The 21,125-nt window shown below is 38.8% G+C and overlaps 2 annotated features.

The window, feature by feature from the left end:
- Positions 2,139-3,338: an enhancer, noted in NCBI's record as "MED14-independent group 3 enhancer chr12:39671001-39672200 (GRCh37/hg19 assembly coordinates)". NCBI's record gives its function as "activates an origin of replication core promoter dependent on BRD2, BRD4, P300/CBP and CDK7 cofactors, and independent of MED14, by STARR-seq in HCT116 cells {active_cell/tissue: HCT116}" and the evidence as "EXISTENCE:reporter gene assay evidence [ECO:0000049][PMID:35650434]".
- Positions 2,773-2,862: a silencer, noted in NCBI's record as "silent region_4347". NCBI's record gives its function as "represses an Ori minimal core promoter by ATAC-STARR-seq in GM12878 lymphoblastoid cells {active_cell/tissue: GM12878}" and the evidence as "EXISTENCE:reporter gene assay evidence [ECO:0000049][PMID:35858748]".

The following is a 21,125-nucleotide window of genomic DNA, read 5'->3' as shown; positions in this document are numbered from 1 at the left end:
AACCAGGTATTCCTAATTTCTCCCTCCTGTCTTTGTATCATTTCAGTCATTCATTTTACTATACAGAATCTATCATTATCAATACTTTTTCTTTTTTTTGAGGCAAGGTCTTGCTCTGTTGCCCAGGCTGGAGTGCAGTGGCACGATCTTGGCTAACTGCAACCTCACAGGCTCAAGTGATTCTTATGCCTCAGCCTCTTGAGTAGCTGGGATTACAGGTGTGAACCACTGTGCCAGGCTAATTTTTTGTAGAGATTGAATTTCGTCATTTTGGCCAGGCTGGTCTTGAACTCCTGGCCTCAAGTGATCCATCCACCTTTGACTCTCAAAGTGCTAGGATTATAGGCGTCAGCCACCATGCCCAGCCTCATCAATATGTCTTTGTTACTATTATTTTGAACAAACTATTATCTGTTAAATGAATTAACCATAAAAAAAAAAAGGTTTTTTTTTTTTTTTTGAGATGGAGTCTCACTCTGTCGCCCAGGCTGGAGTTCAGTGGCACAATCTTGGCTCACTGCAATCCCCACCTCCCAGGTTCAAGTGATTTTCTTGCCTCAGCTTCCAGTGATTTTCTTGCCTCAGCTTCCTGAGTAGCTGGGACTACAGGTGTGCACCACCATACCCAGCTAATTTTTGTATTTTTAGTAGAGACAGGGTTTCACTTTGTTGGCCAGGATGGTCCTGATATCTTGACCTTGTGATCTGACCACCTTGGCCTCCCAAAGTTCTGGGATTACAGGTGTGAGCCACCATGCTCGGACAAAAATAAGAGTTTTTATTTTACGTTCACTTATTCCTTCTCTAATGATCTTCCTTTATGTAAATCCAAGTTTCTAACTTAGTTTATTTTCCTTTTCTCTGAAGAACTTTTAGCATTGCTCTCAAGGCAAGTCTACTGGCAAAAAAAAATCCTTCAATTTTTGTTGGAGAAAGTATTTCTCTTTCATTTTTGAAGGACCCTCTTGGAGCATATAGAATATAAGCTTGGTAGTTATTCTATCAATACTTTAAATATTTCTCTTCACTGTTCTTACTCGCATGGTTTCTGAGAAGTTAAGTATAATTCTAATTTTTGTCTTTCTATAAGTAAGCTGTTCTTTTCCTTTGGATTCTTCAAGACTTTTTTTTTTCACCTATGATTTTCTTCAGTTTGAGTATGATATGTCTAGGTATAGTGTTGTTTTGGGATTTATCTGGCTTGGTGTACTCTGAGCTTTATGGATCTGTGGTTGGGTGTCTGATATTAATTTAGAGAAGATTCTCAGATATTATTGTTTCAAATATTTCTCTCTCTCTTCTCATTCTGATATTCCCATTACATGGATGTTACACCATTTGTAGTTGTTCCATTGTACTTGGATATTTTGTGGGCCGATTTCCAGTCTTTTTTCTTTTTGCATTTCAGTTTTAGAAGTTTCTATTGACATGTCCTCAAACTTAAAGATTCTTTGTCTAATGAGCCTATTAAAAACGTTCTTCATTTCTATGATCATGTTTTTGATCTCTGGTATTTCTTTTTCATTCCTTCTTAGAATTTACATACCTCTGTTCACATTACCCATCTGTTCTTGCATGTAATCTACTTTTTCCATTAGTGCTCTTAGCATATTAATCATAGTTGTCTTAAATTCCCTGTCTGATAATTCCAGCATGCCTGCCATGTCTCGCTCTCTTTCTGATGCTTATGTAGTTTCTTCAAATTGTGTTTTTTGCCTTTTAGTATGCCCTGCAATTTTAGGACATGTTGTAGTGGGTAAAAGGATCTGCAATAAATACAGCTTTGCTAATGTGGTAGTAAGATGTTTGGGAAAGGGAAGTGTTCTATAGTCCTATGATTAGGTCTCAGTCTTTAGGGAGCCTGCTGCCCAGCTTAGGCATGACAGGATGGCCAGAGGAAGCTGGAATTGGGTATTTCTCTTCCTCCACATGAAATGCACCAGTGGGTGGGAGTTGGGTATTTCCCTTTCCTAAGGTCAGTTGAGTCTGATAAAACCTCAATAGGCTCTGGTATCTCTTGAGGGCAAGCCTTGTTAAGAAGAATAGAATGCTCTGGAGTGTTTCAAAATGGCTGCTTTTCTTCTCCCACTGTTGGAAGCCTGAGATCTTTCTCTGGTCTTACTGCGAGAACCTGGTAGAGCTCTGGGAGGTAAAATTCACAAAAGTATGAGTCCCTGAGACTGGGCCCTCTTGGAGTTCTTAGCTCTCTGACTTGTCCACACCTAGCCTCCAGATATTCACCAATTACGGCTTTGGTTTTTCTACTTTACCACTGGTTCTCAAGGAGGTTTCTGCCCGTGAGTTTCTGCTTTAGTAAGTTGTAATTCTCTGTATTCTCCTGTTGTTTCTCCAGTTTTGGAGGCATCAGTTTGTCCTGCGACCTCATTTCTCTGACAGATCTAAGAAGAGCTGTTCATTTTCTCCTGACATGCTGTATTGAAAGCCAGAAGCCCCTATTTCTCTATATATAGTAGAACATTTGATATTATATAATAGTATAGAAAATATCAAACAGCATCTTTCTGATTAAGGGTAATTTTTTTGAGGCAGGGGTGAAGCATGTGCTTTATGTACGTGTATCTGTATCTGGGTAGAATTGATATGTAAAATATATATCTTACAGTGGATCAAGGTCAAACATTATTTAACCCTAACTCTCTTAGGATACTGTGATTTGAGCCAAGGACAGGTGATCAGACCAACTGGGAGAAGAAACCTCAACAGAGAAATTGCTGGTGATGTATCTGGGGAAATGAGGAACCACAGCTCTCTGGCTTAGGGCCTTAGAAAACCAGGCGCAAGTCATCTCCATACCCATGGGTGCTGAACTGATACCACCTTTTCTTCCTGGATTTCCTACTGTAAGTCAGACCAATAAGGATATGAGCACAAAATGATGCAATATCTGTACCATTTTGCATAAGTGAGAATACTCTCACTAAACCACAATTTAAAAACAGGTTGTTACTTTACAATCTCATCTTACACAACAGGGACCTATTTGGAATCTAAAGCAATAAAATCTTGATTTATGAAATCATCAAAATGTCAACATGCCAGGAATTATCAGTTATATAATTTGATTAATATTGCTTAAACAATGTACTTGACATTCATTTGTAAAATTCAGTACTTTTGAGAGTTGGCCAGCACTAAAAGGAAAACATATATTCCTATCAATTTTTTCTTCTTATTGGAACCAAAATAGACCCATTAGACCCATAGGGACATCAACCAATTATGCCTATTTTGTAGTCTTTTTGTTTTTGAAGGAAATAAAGAATGCCAGTATTTTGCTATTTAACAAAGGTTATGACATAAGATTACTAGAGTGATAAAATGGCACCTCTGTATGTAAGCTAAACTCATATTAATTTAGGGTTTTATAGTCTCATATATATATATATGGTTTTTTGCATAAAATCTTTCAGAAAACACCTTATTCATGTTAACATCTGAGAATACCTGTTTTGTCCTGCTGCTAAAACTGATGTAGCCATTGCATTATTGTATCTGTGGGGAAATATAGCAAGAGATACCTTTAGGTTTTGAATTTTGAAACCCTATTATTTTTTTCCTTTATCAGAGCTGGCTGTTTTAATTTAGACATCTTATTTCCTTTCCTCTTGTAGCTCTGATACTTAGATAATTACCTTAACTGTATATGTAAATATGCCTCAAGAAAATCTGATGCTAATGAGGAAACTGAGGCATGAGAAAGCTAAACAGGCTGATTATGGAAGTCAGATAGATCCTTGAATGGCCAGCTCTCCTAGGCTGTTACTTGCTAGGTGGGGTCAGGTAGGGAGGGAGGTGAAGAGAGAGAGATCTGGTTCAACTCATTCACTGATAGAGATTTCTTCTAAGCCAATACTGTCTAATAGTAATATGATATGAGTCACATAAAAAATTAAAAATTTTTGAGTAGCTACATTGAAAAAGGTAAAACGAAATAGGTAAAATCAATTTTAATACATTTTACTTAACACAATGTTTCCAAAATATTATTTCAGCATGTAATCAACATAGAAATTATCCATGAGATTTTTTGCATTCTTTTTTGTACTAAGCCTTCTAAATCTAGCATGTATTTATACTGACAGCATATCTCATCTCAATTCAGATGTTAGCTTTTCATTAGATATATTTTTAAATGAATTTAGAGTTCATAAAATTTAGAGTGGAAAAATTCATATGCACAAGTTGATCCAAACATACTTAAAAGTTTTCCATTGGTGGAACTGAGTTTGTGTTACAGCTTAAATTTAGTTTAATTAAAATTTAAAAAAATCTGAAACTAAATTCCTCAGTTGCACTAACCACATTTCAAGTGCTCAGCAGCCACACATGGCTAGAGGCTACTGTCTTGGACAGCACAGTTGTAAGCAGTGGTAATCTTAAATTATCTCCTCCAATTATCTCCTCAATTATAAAGTCGGAATTGAGAATATTCTCTAGAAACTAACCGAAAAAGATGAGAGATAAAACATTGCTTTTTTGAAATGAGGAAAGCACTGGAATTAGGGGAAATTAGGTCTGACCTGAGCCCTTAGGGCAATTAGTCAATGGATCTGTAGAGGCCTAGAGTCTCAGCTCCGTAGCTGTATGAACAACCCTACTTCACTGGGTAGTTCTGCAGATTGACAGAGGATGTGGTCAAGATGGAACAGCTTTTTTAATATTATTTATTTATTTATTTTTTATTAAAAGGATTGCAATTAATTCAAAGTCAGGCAGTTGGGCATCTTTCTTTCCTTCCTTCCCTATTTTCACTTTTCTTTCTTTGTAAACTGAAATTTAGGTCTAGTTTTACCAAAGAAGAAAGAAATTATTTGACTCACTGCATAGGTTATTTTAGGAAGAGAGAGACCAGAGAACTATTCCAAATGTGGATGAAGGACAGTATCAGCATTTTCTGCCTGCCAATCTATTTAGTTTTCATTTTCCTCCCTCATATTTCTTTATGCAGAGAGAGGACTATGAAACTTTGATTGATACACTTTTCATTTATTGTCATATACTACACTGCTAAAGACTGTCTAAAGGATGAAAACTGAATCTACTTATTTAATAATGATTATACATGCATGAAGTTTCACGTTAATATAGATGCATTATGTTTCCATGGGTTTAAAAACCTGGAAGGGCAATGTTTATTTATTATTAATGTTTTATATTAAATTGAGTGCTCAAAAACTTTTTTTTTGATTCTTAACTATTTCGTATTAGAGAAGTATAGGCTTACATATCAAGTTGATGTACTCATGCAAGTAAAATCATGATTCAAGTAAAGTAAATGCTGACGATTTATTAAGTAATATAATTAAATATACATTATAGTACGGGCGAATCAAGCTCTTACAGAATCCAGGGGAAAGGGGCAGTGGCTACCCCAGGACCTAGCTCCTTCAATGTGAGCTGATTTCTCCCAGCTGTGGGTGGGGCTATTGTGACCTGTCAGATGAAGCTACTCATTTCACCTTCTGCCTGAGGAAGGGCTCTTGGGTGCTAAGTTTTTAATCATGTCTGCTCAATCATATGAGTTTACACTTTTTTTCCCATCAGTTTGGCAATGGAGAAATGTAAACTGAGTCAAATATGCACTTGCGTATGTGTTGGGCATTTTTATTCATTCCTTCACTCATTCATTCAACAGTAATTTTTTCTAGATACAAAAATCATTCAGGCATAATTCTCTCACCCTTATGGCCATTCTAATTATCAGAGGGAGGTGGACTAGCGAGTACAGTCAAGTGTTATAAGTACTATGGTCAGTTCTACATGGGAAGAAGAAAGAGGTTAGGAAAGTGCTTTAAAAAGAGGGAAATTGCGAGTCTGGAAAAATAAATGTCCTGCAGAAATGGGTAGAAATGGGTAGACATGGGGAAAAAGCAGTCTAAGCAGGGCTTTAGGCAAAGGTTAAGAGGCTTGAAATGGTATGGCATATTTGGGGGAACTATAAGTTTTTGGTCATGGCCGAAGCATAGACTTAAAAAACGTTTTTTGATTGATATATTAGTTGTAGGTATTGAAACATAGCTTTTGTATGTCATGCTAAGGAATATGAATTTTATCTTATGTTTAATGAAGAGCCACTGAAAGCTTTTATTTAGGGAAATAATAGGATCTATCTGGTGTCTAAAAATATGATTCTGAAAGTGGTGTTGAGGATGGATGGGAAGACAATCTCCTGTGTGCCATAATATATTATGCCCATTGCAATAGCTCATGGATGATGCTGGTGTATGAATGAAAGTGGTGGCAATTGGGAAAGAGAAAAGAATTAATTTGTATAAAGTCAGTTATGAAGGAAATATTGTTCTAAGAAGATTAGGGTTTACTTAGAGACTTCATTCATTCATGAAAACAATTTGGTTCCCCATTCTCTGAAATAACAATTCAGTAATTATGAATCTGTATCAAACAATAATATAACACAATAGCAGTAAGAACAAAATGGCAAACTTTTCAGATGATCTTGATGAGCATCCAGGATTAGCATCCATGGTTTAGAAAATAAACTCTTGGAGTTCCAAAGAGTAAACAGGAGTCATTGGGGAAGGCTTTTTTTTATGACAGCAGCTCCTACACTGTTTTCTCTGTCTTACACTGGCAGGGGAAAATAAAAGGCCCTGAGGCTCACTCACCTCATTCATTCCATTTTTTCAACAGAAAAAAAAAAACCTAGGCTTTTTTTTCCCTAAATTTGGGGAAATCCTCCTCCACCCACAAAAAAAAAAAAAAAAAAAAAACTGGGGAAGAATTAAGAGGTGATTTGCAAATTTGCCAAGTATGCACAGAAGCCAGATTTTTCAGTAGCTGCATGAACTAAAGCTCTCCTAAATTTAGACAACGTTATGCTACATGAAGACAACCTTTTGATTTGTCCTGAAGTGGTCACTGGTGTTTTGGTAATGCACATCCACTGAGGAAATTTCGTATTCCAGTGTCACTGGGAGACCATCTGATGATGCGTTGTAGATGCCTGAAGCAACTTGAGCTACGAATTGAGAAATTAAGGAGGGGAAAAGAGAGTAGGATAATAACATGGTCACTGGGACGTCATGACCTTTCAATGTGCAGATTACTAACAAGTTAGTTTTTTCTGTATAGATTTTGATCTTTCTGGGAACAGTCCCAGAACAGTTTTTAGTATTTCCACCAGGGGGCAGTGATGTCCTCTACAACGTTGGTGACTGCAGCTAGACAAATTAATCATTCTTTTTTTTTTTTTGGACTTGGAGTGGGTTTGAGTGGGAAGCACTGATTAATTCTAACTGCCTATGGATATTAGGGTGGATTTGGAGTCAAATTCAAGCGGAAGACAGAATCGTTAAATAGCATCTGAAGAAGTGCAGAGCCTTAAACCAGAGTGACTACTTAATTAAATCAGTTGCTACAGTTGGTTAAATTGAATAGCTATCTTCAGACTCTGAAAACTCATAATTCTTGAAGCTCCTGTCCAGCAGCCTTAGGAGGTTCAAGGAATTTGATTTGCCAAGAATTATGTGCCCCATGAAACCACAGGAGCAAATTCTGCAGAACAGATGACAAGGGATAGAGTATTGCTTCTGAAGAGCTCAGACCCTTAATGAGTTCAAGCTCTGCCTTCTTGTCGCTAATTCCACCTTAGCTTGTCAGAAGAGATTTGGCTGCTGGAAGAATATAACTGTGTTTCCACTGGGTAAGTTTAATGCGCATGGCTCTTAGCAGGACTGGAGGAGCAGGGCTTTATGGTAGAAAAAGGAATGGACTCAGGGTTAGAAGGTATTTGAATCCTGGTGCCCACCTTTTAATTACAGTAGAACCATGGCTTACTGTAATAGGTGCTGATTAGGACCCTCCAATCTGGAGGGTCTGGCACTAACTTTGAGGAATCTTGACTAAATCACTTGGCCCCTCTGGTCTTAAAAGTTCGTATCTGTAAAATGAGTCAGTTGATCCAGGCGAGCTTTTGGATCCATCACAACTATAACATTCTAAATTTTATAGAAATACAGATTCATTACCACTTAGCTGCCATCTAGACAGTGCCAAACAACCGTGGACAAAAAAAAAGGTTTTCAGCATGACCAATTTTACCTGGCAGCACAGAATTTGAAGGTATTTATCAAAGAAGGAGGTTTATTAGTGTATACAGTGGGCAAAAAATTGGGAGAAAGGGATCATATAAGGTTTCATCTAGGAAGGCATTAGCGTATCATTTCTACCCCATTATTTTACAAATGAGGAAGAGGCAATAGGCCAAGATTCTTCAAGATTCATTCACCCAGACATTTTTCTGGGTGAATGTGCAGAAGCAAACAAAGCAAATTTCTGCTCTCTTGAGCTAATGTTGCAGCCAAAAGACAACTAACTGTGTAGCATTACAGATGATCATATATTGAAGAGGGAAGGTAGGATAAGGGGAAAAGAAAGTGCCAGGGTTCCCTTTCATCTGGGTACTTCAGAGAAGGCCTCTCAATAAGAGAACATTTGAACAGAGACCTAGAGAAGTGACAGAACTAGGCAAATATCTGGGGAAGATTGTTTTAGGTGGAGAGAGCTGCAATTTCAAGGGCTTGGAGACAACCTAGGAATAATGGGCAGGGCCAGGATTTCTCATTCACTTATGAATTTATTCATTCATTCAACAGATACTTATTCAGTACCTATGCTGTGTGACATGCTATTTTGGCTACAGGATTGAAATCTTGTTTAATTCCAAAACCTTTGTTTTCAACCATGGCAAATGATGCTTCCCTTGTACACTGACCTTTTCCCGAATACTCACATGTTGCTAAGCACTATGGTAAGCACCTTATGGACATCTTATTGAAATTAGTTTTCAAAACCATTCCATAAAATTGTTATATAAAAAAATAATACAAAAAAATATTCTAAGGAAGGCAGAAAAATGAAACTTAATGTTATTTATTTCAGATCTTATTGAATTAGATGGGAAGATGTACTGCTTTGTCTCATGAATAACTACCATAAGAAGCTACCTGAATGACCCCATTGATATTATTCAGCTAATTCATGTGAACATTTATTGAGCTTTTACTTTGTACCTGGTGTGGTGTTAGAAAGATGAATAAAATATAAACTCACAGGAGGAATTATAATAGAGTTGATAAATCCTTTATGTGTTGGGCTAACTCTAAGGGAATGAGCAAGGTGCTGAAGTTGGGGGAGGAACAAAGATCTGAGTCTTGCTGGGGAAGTCAGGAAAGGCTCTATAAACCAAGGAAGGCTTAGACAGGAAATTGAAGGCATGACATACACTCTAGCACTGCATGGAGCAGATGTTTAAAGGGTATATTGGGGGAAGAGTTACAAGCAGAAAATTAATAGAGCAATGCAATCCCCTACTTTCTCATAGTTCTACAGCTTAAGCCAATTTTAGGCTGGGTACACAATTGTCAATGTTTTAGTTGAAAGGGGCCCTACATATTTACAGGATATGTAACTCTCTACATATTTATAGGATCAGAGAAATGAAGGATATACCTGTGACTATATAACAATGAGTGGGGAAATGACATTGTTAGAAAGGGGGAAACTCCAAAGCCTAGCTGTTGGTGTCATCCCATTTGTTCCATTTGTTTTGAGCTAACTCTGACTTGCTATAGAGACTTCTTATAATTTTATGTTGTCGTTGCATCCATTTTGAATATTAATTTAACTTTATCATATCAGAAGCAGGGGTCTGTCACCCTTGACACCATTTCCAGTTTACACCAAACACACATGGCTCCAGAAGGGTGGCCAGAGATAAGAAATTTGAGGTATCTCTCTTGCCTAGCAGATGGAGCTCCCAACTTTCCTGCCATTTAAATGGCCCATTTAGGTATTTTCCCATTAACTCACAGTGACTCACAATCTATTCCCTTATATTTCCTTTATATATGCTGCCTCTCTCTCTTTCTCTCTCTCTCTCTCTCACTCACTCACTCACTCACTCTCTTTGCCTGACTTCATTCCTGCCTCACATGAACTGGAGAAAGAGAACTGCCCTCCAGACTCACTATGTTCTCTTCACCCAGGATCCGTAAGCGAAATCGTTCAACTCGTCTCCTTTTGGGGTGGTGTATTAAATTTGCACCTTCCATCTGAAGAATGAGGGACTGCCCCAGCTAGCTTTTCTCTGGGATGAGGGATGGGGTGTGGATGGGGGAGACACAGGGTTGGGCTCAGCCTGAGCCATGGTCAGGCAGGGGTCAGACAAGACCCAAAAGGGTGTCTGCTATTATAACTAAGTTTCCCATGGGAAGGAACCCCCTGGTCATGGGTTGGACAACTAGGCGTTAGGCCATCCACCAGGTAAAAGAAGTATCCCTGTGGAAGGCACACTGTAAATACCCATATCTAGCTACCCATCATTTCTTGTTAGGGCAGGATTGCTAGATGCTCTGCTACTAGAACCCCCGTTTCGCTGAGGGTTGTCAAGACACCTGCTGAGCCAGCTCTCTGCTAGTCTTCCCAAAAGGGAGGAATTGAGCCTGTAGGCCCATCAAGATCTGTCTCTCCTTGGATGCATGAAGGGGAGTTTAAAGCGGCTCGAGGGCATTCCTGATAGAGGGAATAGCATGTGTAACTGGAGGAAAACTGGAGATTGTGGTGTGATTGGGAAAGTGCGAATATTTTGACCTGACTAAAGTATACTGTGTGAGGCCAGAGGGGAATGGGTATTGGAAAGTGAGGGGCTGTGTAGAAGGGCAGGATTCCAAAAAGGCTGCCTGGCAGAAGCACGTGCAGAAGGCTTGATATGCCATGTTTTGGTGTTTGCAGCTTTCCCTCCAGGCAAGTGGATCCAGTCATATAGCCCAAATGAAATGCGAGCTGGGTGGCGTGTCATAAAATGCGGCTCCAGACAGTCCCAGTCCACAGGAACTAGGTGGTGGAAGTAGGTGGTATTCAGCTCCATCTTGTTGCTATGTGGAAATTTGTGTCCAGTGTCACCAGAACTTTGGGTTTTTTAGGTGGAGCTAGAAATATGCGTTTATGCACAAAATATTCCAAATTTCAATGTTGGAAACAAATTCAAATTTACTTAACAAATGTATGGGCCAAAGTAAACATAGACTGCATTGCTTTCCAATCCCCATGGGAGATGAAAGGGACCATATGAGATCTTAAAAGGGTGACCGATGGGGTCAGTTTTGTTTTTTGGAAGGATTAGTTTGGAAACAATTTGCGGAATAGATTGGAGGAGATAGGATAGAGTCAAGAAGAGTAATTTGAAGCTTTTGAAATAAAAATTGAGAAGCTGAAAGGCAACAAGGATAAAGCTGAGGGGCATTTAGGAGAAGAATCGACAAGATTTGGTACCACTGGGATATAGATACTGAAGACAACGGGGTTTCGAGTGACATTTATTTTTCTGATTTGGAAGACTAGGTGAATGATCTTTTCGGTCACTGAAACAGGAAATGAGGAGGCAATGCTGGCTTCCAAACCAATACTGGGAGTTCTTTTTCCATACATTGAGTTTGAGTATCTGTGGGAAATTCAAATTAAAACCTCAGAGCCAGTTTGGTGAATTCGATAGCTCAGAGAAGAAGTCAGATTAGGGTTATGTACTGGGGAGTCATCTGCAAATGGCTCCTATTCATTCTTTCAACAAACACACATATTTTTCTTTGGTATGCCAGGCCTTGTGCTTGTTCCTGGGAATACAAATTGTTCTCCAAGCTCATGAAACTTGCAGGCAGATAGTACACAAGAAATAGCTAAGCACTATAGCTAGCACACAAATACAATAAATACAAATTGTGATAACTGCTAGACAGGCATAACTTGGAGATATCATGGGGTTGGTTCCAGACCATTGTAATAAAGCGAATATCACAATAAAGTGAGTCACACAAAGTTTTTGAGTTTTCCCAGTGCATACAAAACTTATGTTTACACTTGCCTATTAATAGTATAGTGTAATAGACTAGTTAACACTGGTTTAGTAGGTGTGCAATAGCATTATGCACACTTACAACTCTAGTCTATTAAGTGTGCAATAGCATTATGAACTTATTAGCATTACTATTAACAGTATAGTGTAGTAGACTACACTAGTCTATTAAGCGTGCAATAGTATTATATCTAAAAAAGTAAACTGTTAATTTAAAATACTTCATTGCTAAAAATGCTCGCAATCATCTGAGCCTTCAGTGAATTGTAATCTTTTTGGTTGTGGAAGGTCTTGCATCAATGTTGATGGCTGTTGACTGATCAGGGTGGTGATTGCTGAAGATGGGGGTGACTGTGGTAACTTCTTAAAATAAGACAATAATGAAGTTTGCCTCATCAATTGACTTTTCCTTTAACAAAAGATTTCTCTGTAGCATGTGATGCTGTTTCATAACATTTTGCCTACAGTAGAACTTCTTTCAAAATCTGAGTCAGTCCTCTCAAAGCCTGCCACTGCTTTATCAACTAAGTTTATGTAATCTAAATCTTTTGTTGTGATTTCAGCGATGTTCAGTGTCTTCACAAGGAGTAGATTCCATATCAAGAAACCACTTTCTTTGCTCATCCATATGAAGCAACTCCTCATCTGTTAAAGTTTGATCATGAAATTTCAGCAGTTCAGTCACATCTCCAGGCTCTACTTCTAATTCTAGTTCTCTTGCTATTTCACCACATCTGCAGTTCTTTTCTTTGCTGAAGACTTGAAGCCCTCAAAATCATCCATAAGGGTTGGAATGAACTTTTTCCAACTTTGTGTTCATGTTGCTATTTTGACCTCTTCCCAGGAATCAAGAATATACTTAATGGCATCTAAAATGGCGAATCTTTTCCAGAAGATTTTCAACTTACTTTGCCCAGATCTATCAGAGGAATCACTACCGATGGCAGCTATAGCCTAATAAAATGTATTTCTAAAATAATAAGACTTGAAAGTAAAAATGATTCCTTGTCCAAGGGGCCAGTGAAAGAGCAACTGTTTGAAGGAAAACTCAATTTCAAGGACATAATATCTAAAAATCTCAAATGAACAAAAATGTTAAGAAAGAGAAGGGCTGAAATATGGTTGTTGGATTTGGCCAGCAAGAGGCAGCGTAGAAGAGAGAGGGTGGAGGTTGTTAGGGTACAATGATGAACTGAATCTTGAAGAGAAGTGGAGTAGAGATGAAACGTGCAGGTCTTGCTTGTGAGTCAAGCTGGGGAATTAGGGCAATAGCTAGAGAGTTGCTGAATAGAATAAGAGAACACTAGAGACGTGCAAAGGCCTTAGTATTTCCTACATGTTACTAAGATGTGATCTTTCAGCTTTAATTGTGTGGAACTTTATAATTGCTCACATTCTCCAATTTTGTGCCTGTAGCAAGGTGCAGTGCTTTCAGTGCCCATGTCGGTCCATCCGTTGTCATATATTCCAGAAATATGCTTGCACATCCCAGGAATTTTGAGGTTTGATTGTGTTCGATTTAGTATTTTAGTCTTTGATTGTCCTTCAGTTTTGTCAGCATATAAGTAACATCTTCTCAATAATGTGTTAGTCCTTTAAACTCTGTCTTATGCTCGTTGGATGTTTTCCTTAGTCAAGACTTTGTTTGTTTTTTGAGATTGAGTCTCGCTCTGTTGCCAGGGCTGGAGTGCAATGGGGCAATCTCAGCTCAACTGCAATCTCTGCCTTCTGGGTTCAGGTGATTCTCCTGCCTCAGCCTCCAAAGTAGCTGGGATTACAGGCACCTGCCACCATGCCCGGCTAATTTTTATATTTATAGTAGAGATGGGATTTCACTATGTTGGCCAGGCTGGTCTCGAAATCCTGACCTCAGGTGATCCACCTGCCTCGGCCTCCCAAAGTGCTGGGATTACAGGCGTGAGCCACTGCGCCTGGCCTGGTCAAGACTTTCAAGTGATTTTTTTTCTTTGTTCAATTGAAGGATTTCACTTGGGTTGATTAAAAACCTAATTAAAAAAAAATCCATTGCTTACTGATAACTGCTCTTTTCAATCTCTTGTGCCAGAGTATACTTTTCTTTTGGCTTATGTTGGTCATTAAAAGTCACTTTCTAAACCCTGAAATATCAAGGTGCATAACAAAATAAGACCAGACTGCTTTTGTGATCTATGATATTTTTATTGCAGAGTTTAATTGACTTTTATCTTTTTTGTTTGTTCTTTTACTTTTTTAATATGTCTAAAACCCCATCTGTGTGTGTTGTGCTATACTGCTTGATAATATGGCTCTAGATAATAGAAATCCATTACATCCCTCAGAGGAAATAAAAAACCTGCTCTCCGAGGAGTAGAGGGGAACACAAGTAGAAATTCAATCTCTGACTAAGAATCAGCATGTGTTTTCTTTTTCCCAAAGAAAGAAAGAAGAAAATAAATAAAAGGTAGAAAACTAGACCTCAGAATTGTAGTTTCGTGCTGCTGCATAAAATAAAGTCCATATGGTAGAAGAAAGGCTGTCAATAATCCTATGGAGCAGAAGAATTTTGTTCTTACAAGTAAAAAAAGAACCTGCATCTTTGTTCCTAAAATATATTGAAATTGAAGCAAGCAAGATTTATTTTCACAGCCACCATTTTCTATTTTAGACTGATATTTCTAACAATCACCAGAAATCAGCAGGAAACTCTTAAAGAAATTATCATTAAAATGCAAAAGCCCTGTGTCATCCACCCCGTAGGAAACAATGACTTTTTTTATCTTTCTTTTTTTATTATTATTATACTTTAAGTTTTAGGGTACATGTGCACAATGTGCAGGTTAGTTACATATGTATACATGTGCCATGTTGGTGTGCTGCACCCATCAACTCATCATTTAGCATTAGGTATATCTCCTAATGCTATCCCTCGCCCCTCCCCCCACCCCACAACAGTCCCCTGTGTGTAATGTTCCCCTTCCTGTGTCCATGTGTTCTCATTGTTCAGTTCCCACCTATGAGTGAAAACATGTGGTGTTTGGTTTTTTGTCCTTGCGATAGTTTGCTGAGAATGATGGTTTCCAGCTTCATCCATGTCCCTACAAAGGACATGAACTCATCCTTTTTTATGGCTGCATAGTATTCCATGGTGTATATGTGCCACACTTTCTTAATCCAGTCTATCATTGTTGGACATGTGGGTTGGTTCCAAGTCTTTGCTATTGTGAATAGTGCCGCAATAAACATACGTGTGCATGTGTCTTTATAGCAGCATGATTTATAGTCCTTTGGGTATATACCCAGTAATGAGATGGCTGAGTCAAATGGTATTTCTAGTTCTAGATCACTGAGGAATCGCCACACTGACTTCCGCAATGGTTGAACTAGTTTACAGTCCCACCAACAGTGTAAAAGTGTTCCTATTTCTCCACATCCTCTTCAGCACCTGTTGTTTCCTGACTTTTTAATGATCGCCATTCTAACGGGTGTGAGATGATATCTCATTGTGGTTTTGATTTGCATTTCTCTGATGGCCAGTGATGATGAGCATTTTTTCATGTGTGTTTTGGCTGCATAAATGTCTTCTTTTGAGAAGTGTCTGTTCATATCTTTTGTTCACTTTTTGATGGGGTTGTTTGTTTTTTTCTTGTAAATTTGTTGGAGTTCATTGCAGATTCTGGATATTAGCCCTTTGTCAGATGAGTAGGTTGCAAAAATTTTCTCCCATTCTGTAGGTTGCCTGTTCACTCTGATGGTAGTTTCTTTTGCTGTGCAGAAGCTCTTTAATTTAATTAGACCCCATTTGTCAATTTTGGCTTTTGTTGCCATTGCTTTGGTGTTTAGACATGAAGTCCTTGCCCAAGCCTATGTCCTGAATGGTAAAGCCTAGGTTTTCTTTTAGGGTTTTTATGGTTTTAGGTCTAACATGGAAGTGTTTAATCCATCTTGAATTAATTTTTTTATAAGGTGTAAGGAAGGGATCCAGTTTCAGCTTTCTACATATGGCTAGCCAGTTTTCCCAGCACCATTTATTAAATAGGGAATCCTTTCTCCATTGCTTGTTTTTGTCAGGTTTGTCAAAGATCAGATGGTTGTAGATATGCGGCATTATTTCTGAGGGCTCTGTTCTGTTCCATTGGTCTATATCTCTGTTTTGGTACCAGTACCATGCTGTTTTGGTGACTGTAGCCTTGTAGTATAGTTTGAAGTCGGGTAGCGTGATGCCTCCAGCTTTGTTCTTTTGGCTTAGGATTGACTTGGTGATGCAGGCTCTTTTTTGGTTCCATATGAACTTTAACATACTTTTTTCCAATTCTGTGAAGAAAGTCATTAGTAGCTTGATGGGGATGGCATTGAATCTATAAATTACCTTGGGCAGTATGGCCATTTTCATGATACTGATTCTTCCTACCCATGAGCATGGAATGTTCTTCCATTTGTTTGTATCCTCTTTTATTTCATTGAACAGTGGTTTGTAGTTCTCCTTGAAGAGGTCCTTCACATCCCTTGTAAGTTGGATTCCTAGGTATTTTATTCTCTTTGAAGCAATTGAGAATGGGAGTTCACTCATGATTTGGCTCTCTGTTTGTCTGTTATTGGTGTATAAGAACGCTTGTGATTTTTGCACATCGATTTTGTATCCTGAGACTTTGTTGAAGTTGCTTATCAGCTTAAGGAGATTTTGGGCTGAGACAATGGGGTTTTCTAGATATACAATCATGTCATCTGCAAACAGGGACAATTTGACTTCCTCTTTTCCTAATTGAACGCCCTTTATTTCCTTCTCCTGCGTGGTTGCCCTGGCCAGAACTTCCAACACTATGTTGAATAGGAGTGGTGAGAGAGGGCATCTCTGTCTTGTGCCAGTTTTCAAGGGGAATGCTTCCAGTTTTTGCCCATTCAGTATGATATTAGCTGTGGGTTTGTCATAGATAGCTCTTATTATTTTGAGATACATCCCATCAATACCTAATTTATTGAGAGTTTTTAGCATGAAGGGCTGTCGGATTTTGTCAAGGCCTTTTCTGCATCTATTGAGATAATCATGTGGTTTTTGTCTTTGGTTGTGTTTATATGCTGGATTACGTTTATTGATATTCATATGTTGAACGAGCCTTGCATCCCAGGTATGAAGCCCACTTGATCATGGTGGATAAGCTTTTTGATGTGCTGCTGGATTTGGTTTGCCAGTATTTTATTGAGGATTTTTGCATCAATGTTCATCAAGGATATTGGTCTAAAATTCTCTTTTTTTGTCGTGTCTGCCAGGCTTTGGTATCAGGATGATGCTGGCCTCATAAAATGAGTCAGGGAGGATTCCCTCTTTTTCTATCGATTGGAATAGTTTCAGATGGAATGGTACCAGCTCCTCCTTGTACCTCTGGTAGAATTCAGCTGTGAATCCATCTGGTCCTGGACTTTTTTTGGTTGGTAAGCTATTAATTATTGCCTCAATTTCAGAGACTGTTATTGGTCTATTCAGAGATTCAACTTCTTCCTGGTTTAGTCTTGGGAGAGTGTATGTGTTGAGGAATTTATCCATTTCTTCTAGATTTCCTAGTTTATTTGCATAGAGGTGTTTATAGTATTCTCTGATGGTTCTGTAGATGTCTATTAGGTCTGCTTGGTGCAGAGCTGAGTTCAATTCCTGGATATCCTTTTTAACTTTCTGTCTTGTTGATCTGTCTAATGTTGACAGTGGGGTGTTAAACTCTCCCATTATTATTGTGTGGGAGTCTATGTCTCTTCGGAGGTCACTAAGGACTTGCTTTATGAATCTGGGTGCTCCTGTATTGGGTGCGTATATATTTAGGATAGTTAGTTCTTCTTGTTGAATTGATCCCTTTACCATTATGTAATGGCCTTCTTTGTCTCTTTTGAGCTTTGTTGGTTTAAAGTCTGTTTTATCCGAGAATAGGATTGCAACCCCTGCCTTTTTTTGTTTTCCATTTGCTTGGTAGATCATCCTCCATCCCTTTATTTTGAGCCTATATGTGTCTCTGCACATGAGATGGGTTTCCTGAATACAGCACACTGATGGGTCTTGACTCTTTATCCAATTTTCCAGTCTGTGCCTTTTAATTGGAGCATTTAGTCCATTTACATTTAAGGTTAGTATTGTTATGTGTGAATTTGATCCTGTCATTATGATGTTAGCTGGTTATTTTGCTCATTAGTTGATGTAGTTTCTTCGTAGCCTTGATGGTCTTTACAATTTGGCATGTTTTTGCAGTGGCTGGTACCAGTTGTTCCTTTCCATGTTTAGTGCTTCCTTCAGGAGCTCTTTTAGGGCAGGCCTGGTGGTGACAAAATCTCTCAGCATTTGCTTGTCTGTAAAGGATTTGATTTCTCCTTCACTTATGAAGCTTAGTTTGGCTGGATATGAAATTCTGGGTTGAAAATTCTTTTCTTTAAGAATGTTGAGTATTGGCCCCCACTCTCTTCTGGCTTGTAGAGTTTCTGCCAAGAGATCATCTGTTAGTCTGATGGGCTTCCCTTTGAGGGTAACCCGACCTTTCTATCTGGCTGCTCTTAACATTGTTTCCTTCATTTCAACTTTGGTGAATCTGACAATTATGTGTCTTGGGGTTGCTCTTCTTGAGGAGTATCTTTGTGGTATTCTCTGTATTTCCTGAATTTGAATGTTGGCCTGCCTTGCTAGATTTGGGAAGTTCTCCTGGATAATATCCTGCAGAGTGTTTTCCAACTTGGTTCCATTCTCCCCGTCACTTTCAGGTACACCAATTAGATGTAGATTTGGTCTTTTCACATAGTCCCATATTTCTTGGGGGCTTTGTTCATTTCTTTTTATTCTTTTTTCTCTAAACTTCTCTTCACACTTCATTTCATTCATTTCATCTTCCATCACTGATACCCTTTCTTCCAGTTGATCGCATCGGTTACTGAGGCTTGTGCATTTGTCACGTAGTTCTCATGCCATGGTTTTCAGCTCCATCAGGTCCTTTAAGGACTTCTCTGCATTGGTTATTCTAGTTATCCATTCATCTAATTTTTTTTTCAATGTTTTTAACTTCTTTGCCATTGGTTCAAACTTCCTCCTTTAGCTCAGAGTAATTCGATCTTCTGAAGCCTTCCTCTCTCAACTCATCAAAGTCATTCTCTGTCCAGCTTTGTTCCATTACTGGTGAGGAACTATGTTCCTTTGGAAGAGGAGAGGTGCTCTGATTTTTAGAGTTTCCAGTTTTTCTGCTCTGTTTTTTCCCCATCTTTGTGGTTTTATCTGCCTTTGGTCTTTGATGATGGTGACGTACAGATGGGTTTTTGGTGTGGATGTCCTTTCTGTTTGTTAGTTTTCCTTCTAAGAGTCAGGACCCTCAGCTGCATGTCTGTTGGAGTTTGCTGGAGGTCCACTCCAGACCCTGTTTGCCTGTGTATCATCAGTGGTGGCTGCAGAACAGCGGATATTGGTGTACAGCAAATGCTGCTGTCTGATCATTCCTCTGGAAGTTTTGTCTCAGAGGAGTACCCGGCTGTGTGAGGTGTCAGTCTGCTCCTACTGGGGTTGCCTCCCAGTTAGGCCACTCGGGGGTCAGGGACCCACTTGAGGCAGCAGTCTGCCTGTTCTCAGATCTCAAGCTGCTTGCTGGGAGAACCACTACTCTCTTCAAAGCTGTCAGACAGGGACATTTAAATCTGCAGAGGTTATTGCTGTCTTTTGTTTGTCTGTCCCCTGCCCCCAGAGGTGGAGCCTACAGAGGCAGGCAGGCCTCCTTGAGCTGTGGTGGAGTACACCAAGTTCGAGCTTCCTGGCTTCTTTGTTTACCTACTCAAGCCTGAGCAACGGCGGGCACCCGTCCCCCAGCCTCACTACTGCCTTGCAGTTTGATCTCAGACTGCTGTGCTACCAATGAGCGAGGCTCTGTGGGTGTAGGACCCTCTGAGCTATGTGCGGGATATAATCTCCTGGTGTGCCATTTGTTAAGTCCATTGGAAAAGTGCAGCATTAGGGTGAGAGTGACCCAATTCTCCAGGTGCCATCTGTCACCCCTTTCTTTGACTAGGAAAGGGAATTCCCTGGCCCCTTGTGTTTCCTGGGTGAGGAAATGCCTCGCCCTGCTTTGGCTCACACACGGTGTGCTGCACCCACTGTCCTGCACCTACTGTCAGGCACTCCCCAGTGAGATGAACCCGGTACCTCAGTTGGAAATGCAGAAATCACTCGTCTTCTGCATCACTCACACTGGGAGCTGTAGACTGGAGCTGTTCCTATTTAGCCATCTTGGCTCCACCAGGAAACAATGATTTTTTTAAAAAGTGCATTTACTCTTGGTTTGCTCTTTCATTTCTTCAATTCATTTTCATTTTCTTTTCTCCTCTTGACTGGTTTTAAATTTTCAAAAATGTTGGTTTCTTATTTAGTTCTTTATATAATGAAAGGCAATAAACTCTTGTCTATTCATGCCTATTCTCCAAACATACACCTTAGAGGAAAACTCTTATTATAATGTCTACTTTCATCTTGTGACATTTACCTCAGTGAATCAGAAAATATGATGGTCTCTCTATTATTATGTTCATCAGTAGATAATTATCAACTTAGGTAAAAGTGTAAAATAGATAACATCTATTGGGTTTCTATTAATAAAGAGGAGGCTTTGGCTTCACTAATCTCATAGTTCCTTGCCTCTGTTCTCCCACCCATGTCTGATAGTCGTACTAATTTTAGTTCCTCAATTCTTTAACTTTGTAGTTTGCAAAAGTAACCTTAATTCCTTTTTTTTTTTTTTTACTTGCAACAGGGTGACTGGACTTGACTGCCCACTATGTGAAATAAAAATATCAATATTCCTCTTCATTTGTCTCTCCAACGAGTAGAGGGGAACACAAGTAGAAATTCAATCTCTGAGTAAGAATCAGCATGACTTTTTATTCCAAAGAAAGAAGAAAATAAATAAAAGGTAGAAAACTAGATTTCAGAATTGTAGTTTTGTGCAATTATTACAAAATTTGTAGATCTCCTCTCTTTATGATCTACTTATTTCAATCAGGGTTTTGGTTTTATGTTATCAAGGTTATTAAAACTTGCAGTCTGTTCAGAAACCACACCCAATTCTTCCATATTTTGTCCATGCATTAATTCTAATGCTGGAAAAAAGATATATAAAATAATATTATCACAATTTAAAGAAAATTCGATTGTGACTAGGGGATGCTAAGATTTCATTTCTTCTCTTCTATTGCAAAGATATTGTATTAACCAGGTTCTCCAGAGGAACAGAACCAAGATGTGTGTGTGTGT

This window comes from Homo sapiens, chromosome 12 (assembly GCF_000001405.40).
Source record: "Homo sapiens chromosome 12, GRCh38.p14 Primary Assembly".
Classification (NCBI taxonomy): domain Eukaryota; kingdom Metazoa; phylum Chordata; class Mammalia; order Primates; family Hominidae; genus Homo; species Homo sapiens.
This window is presented reverse-complemented; position numbering and strand designations above follow the sequence as displayed.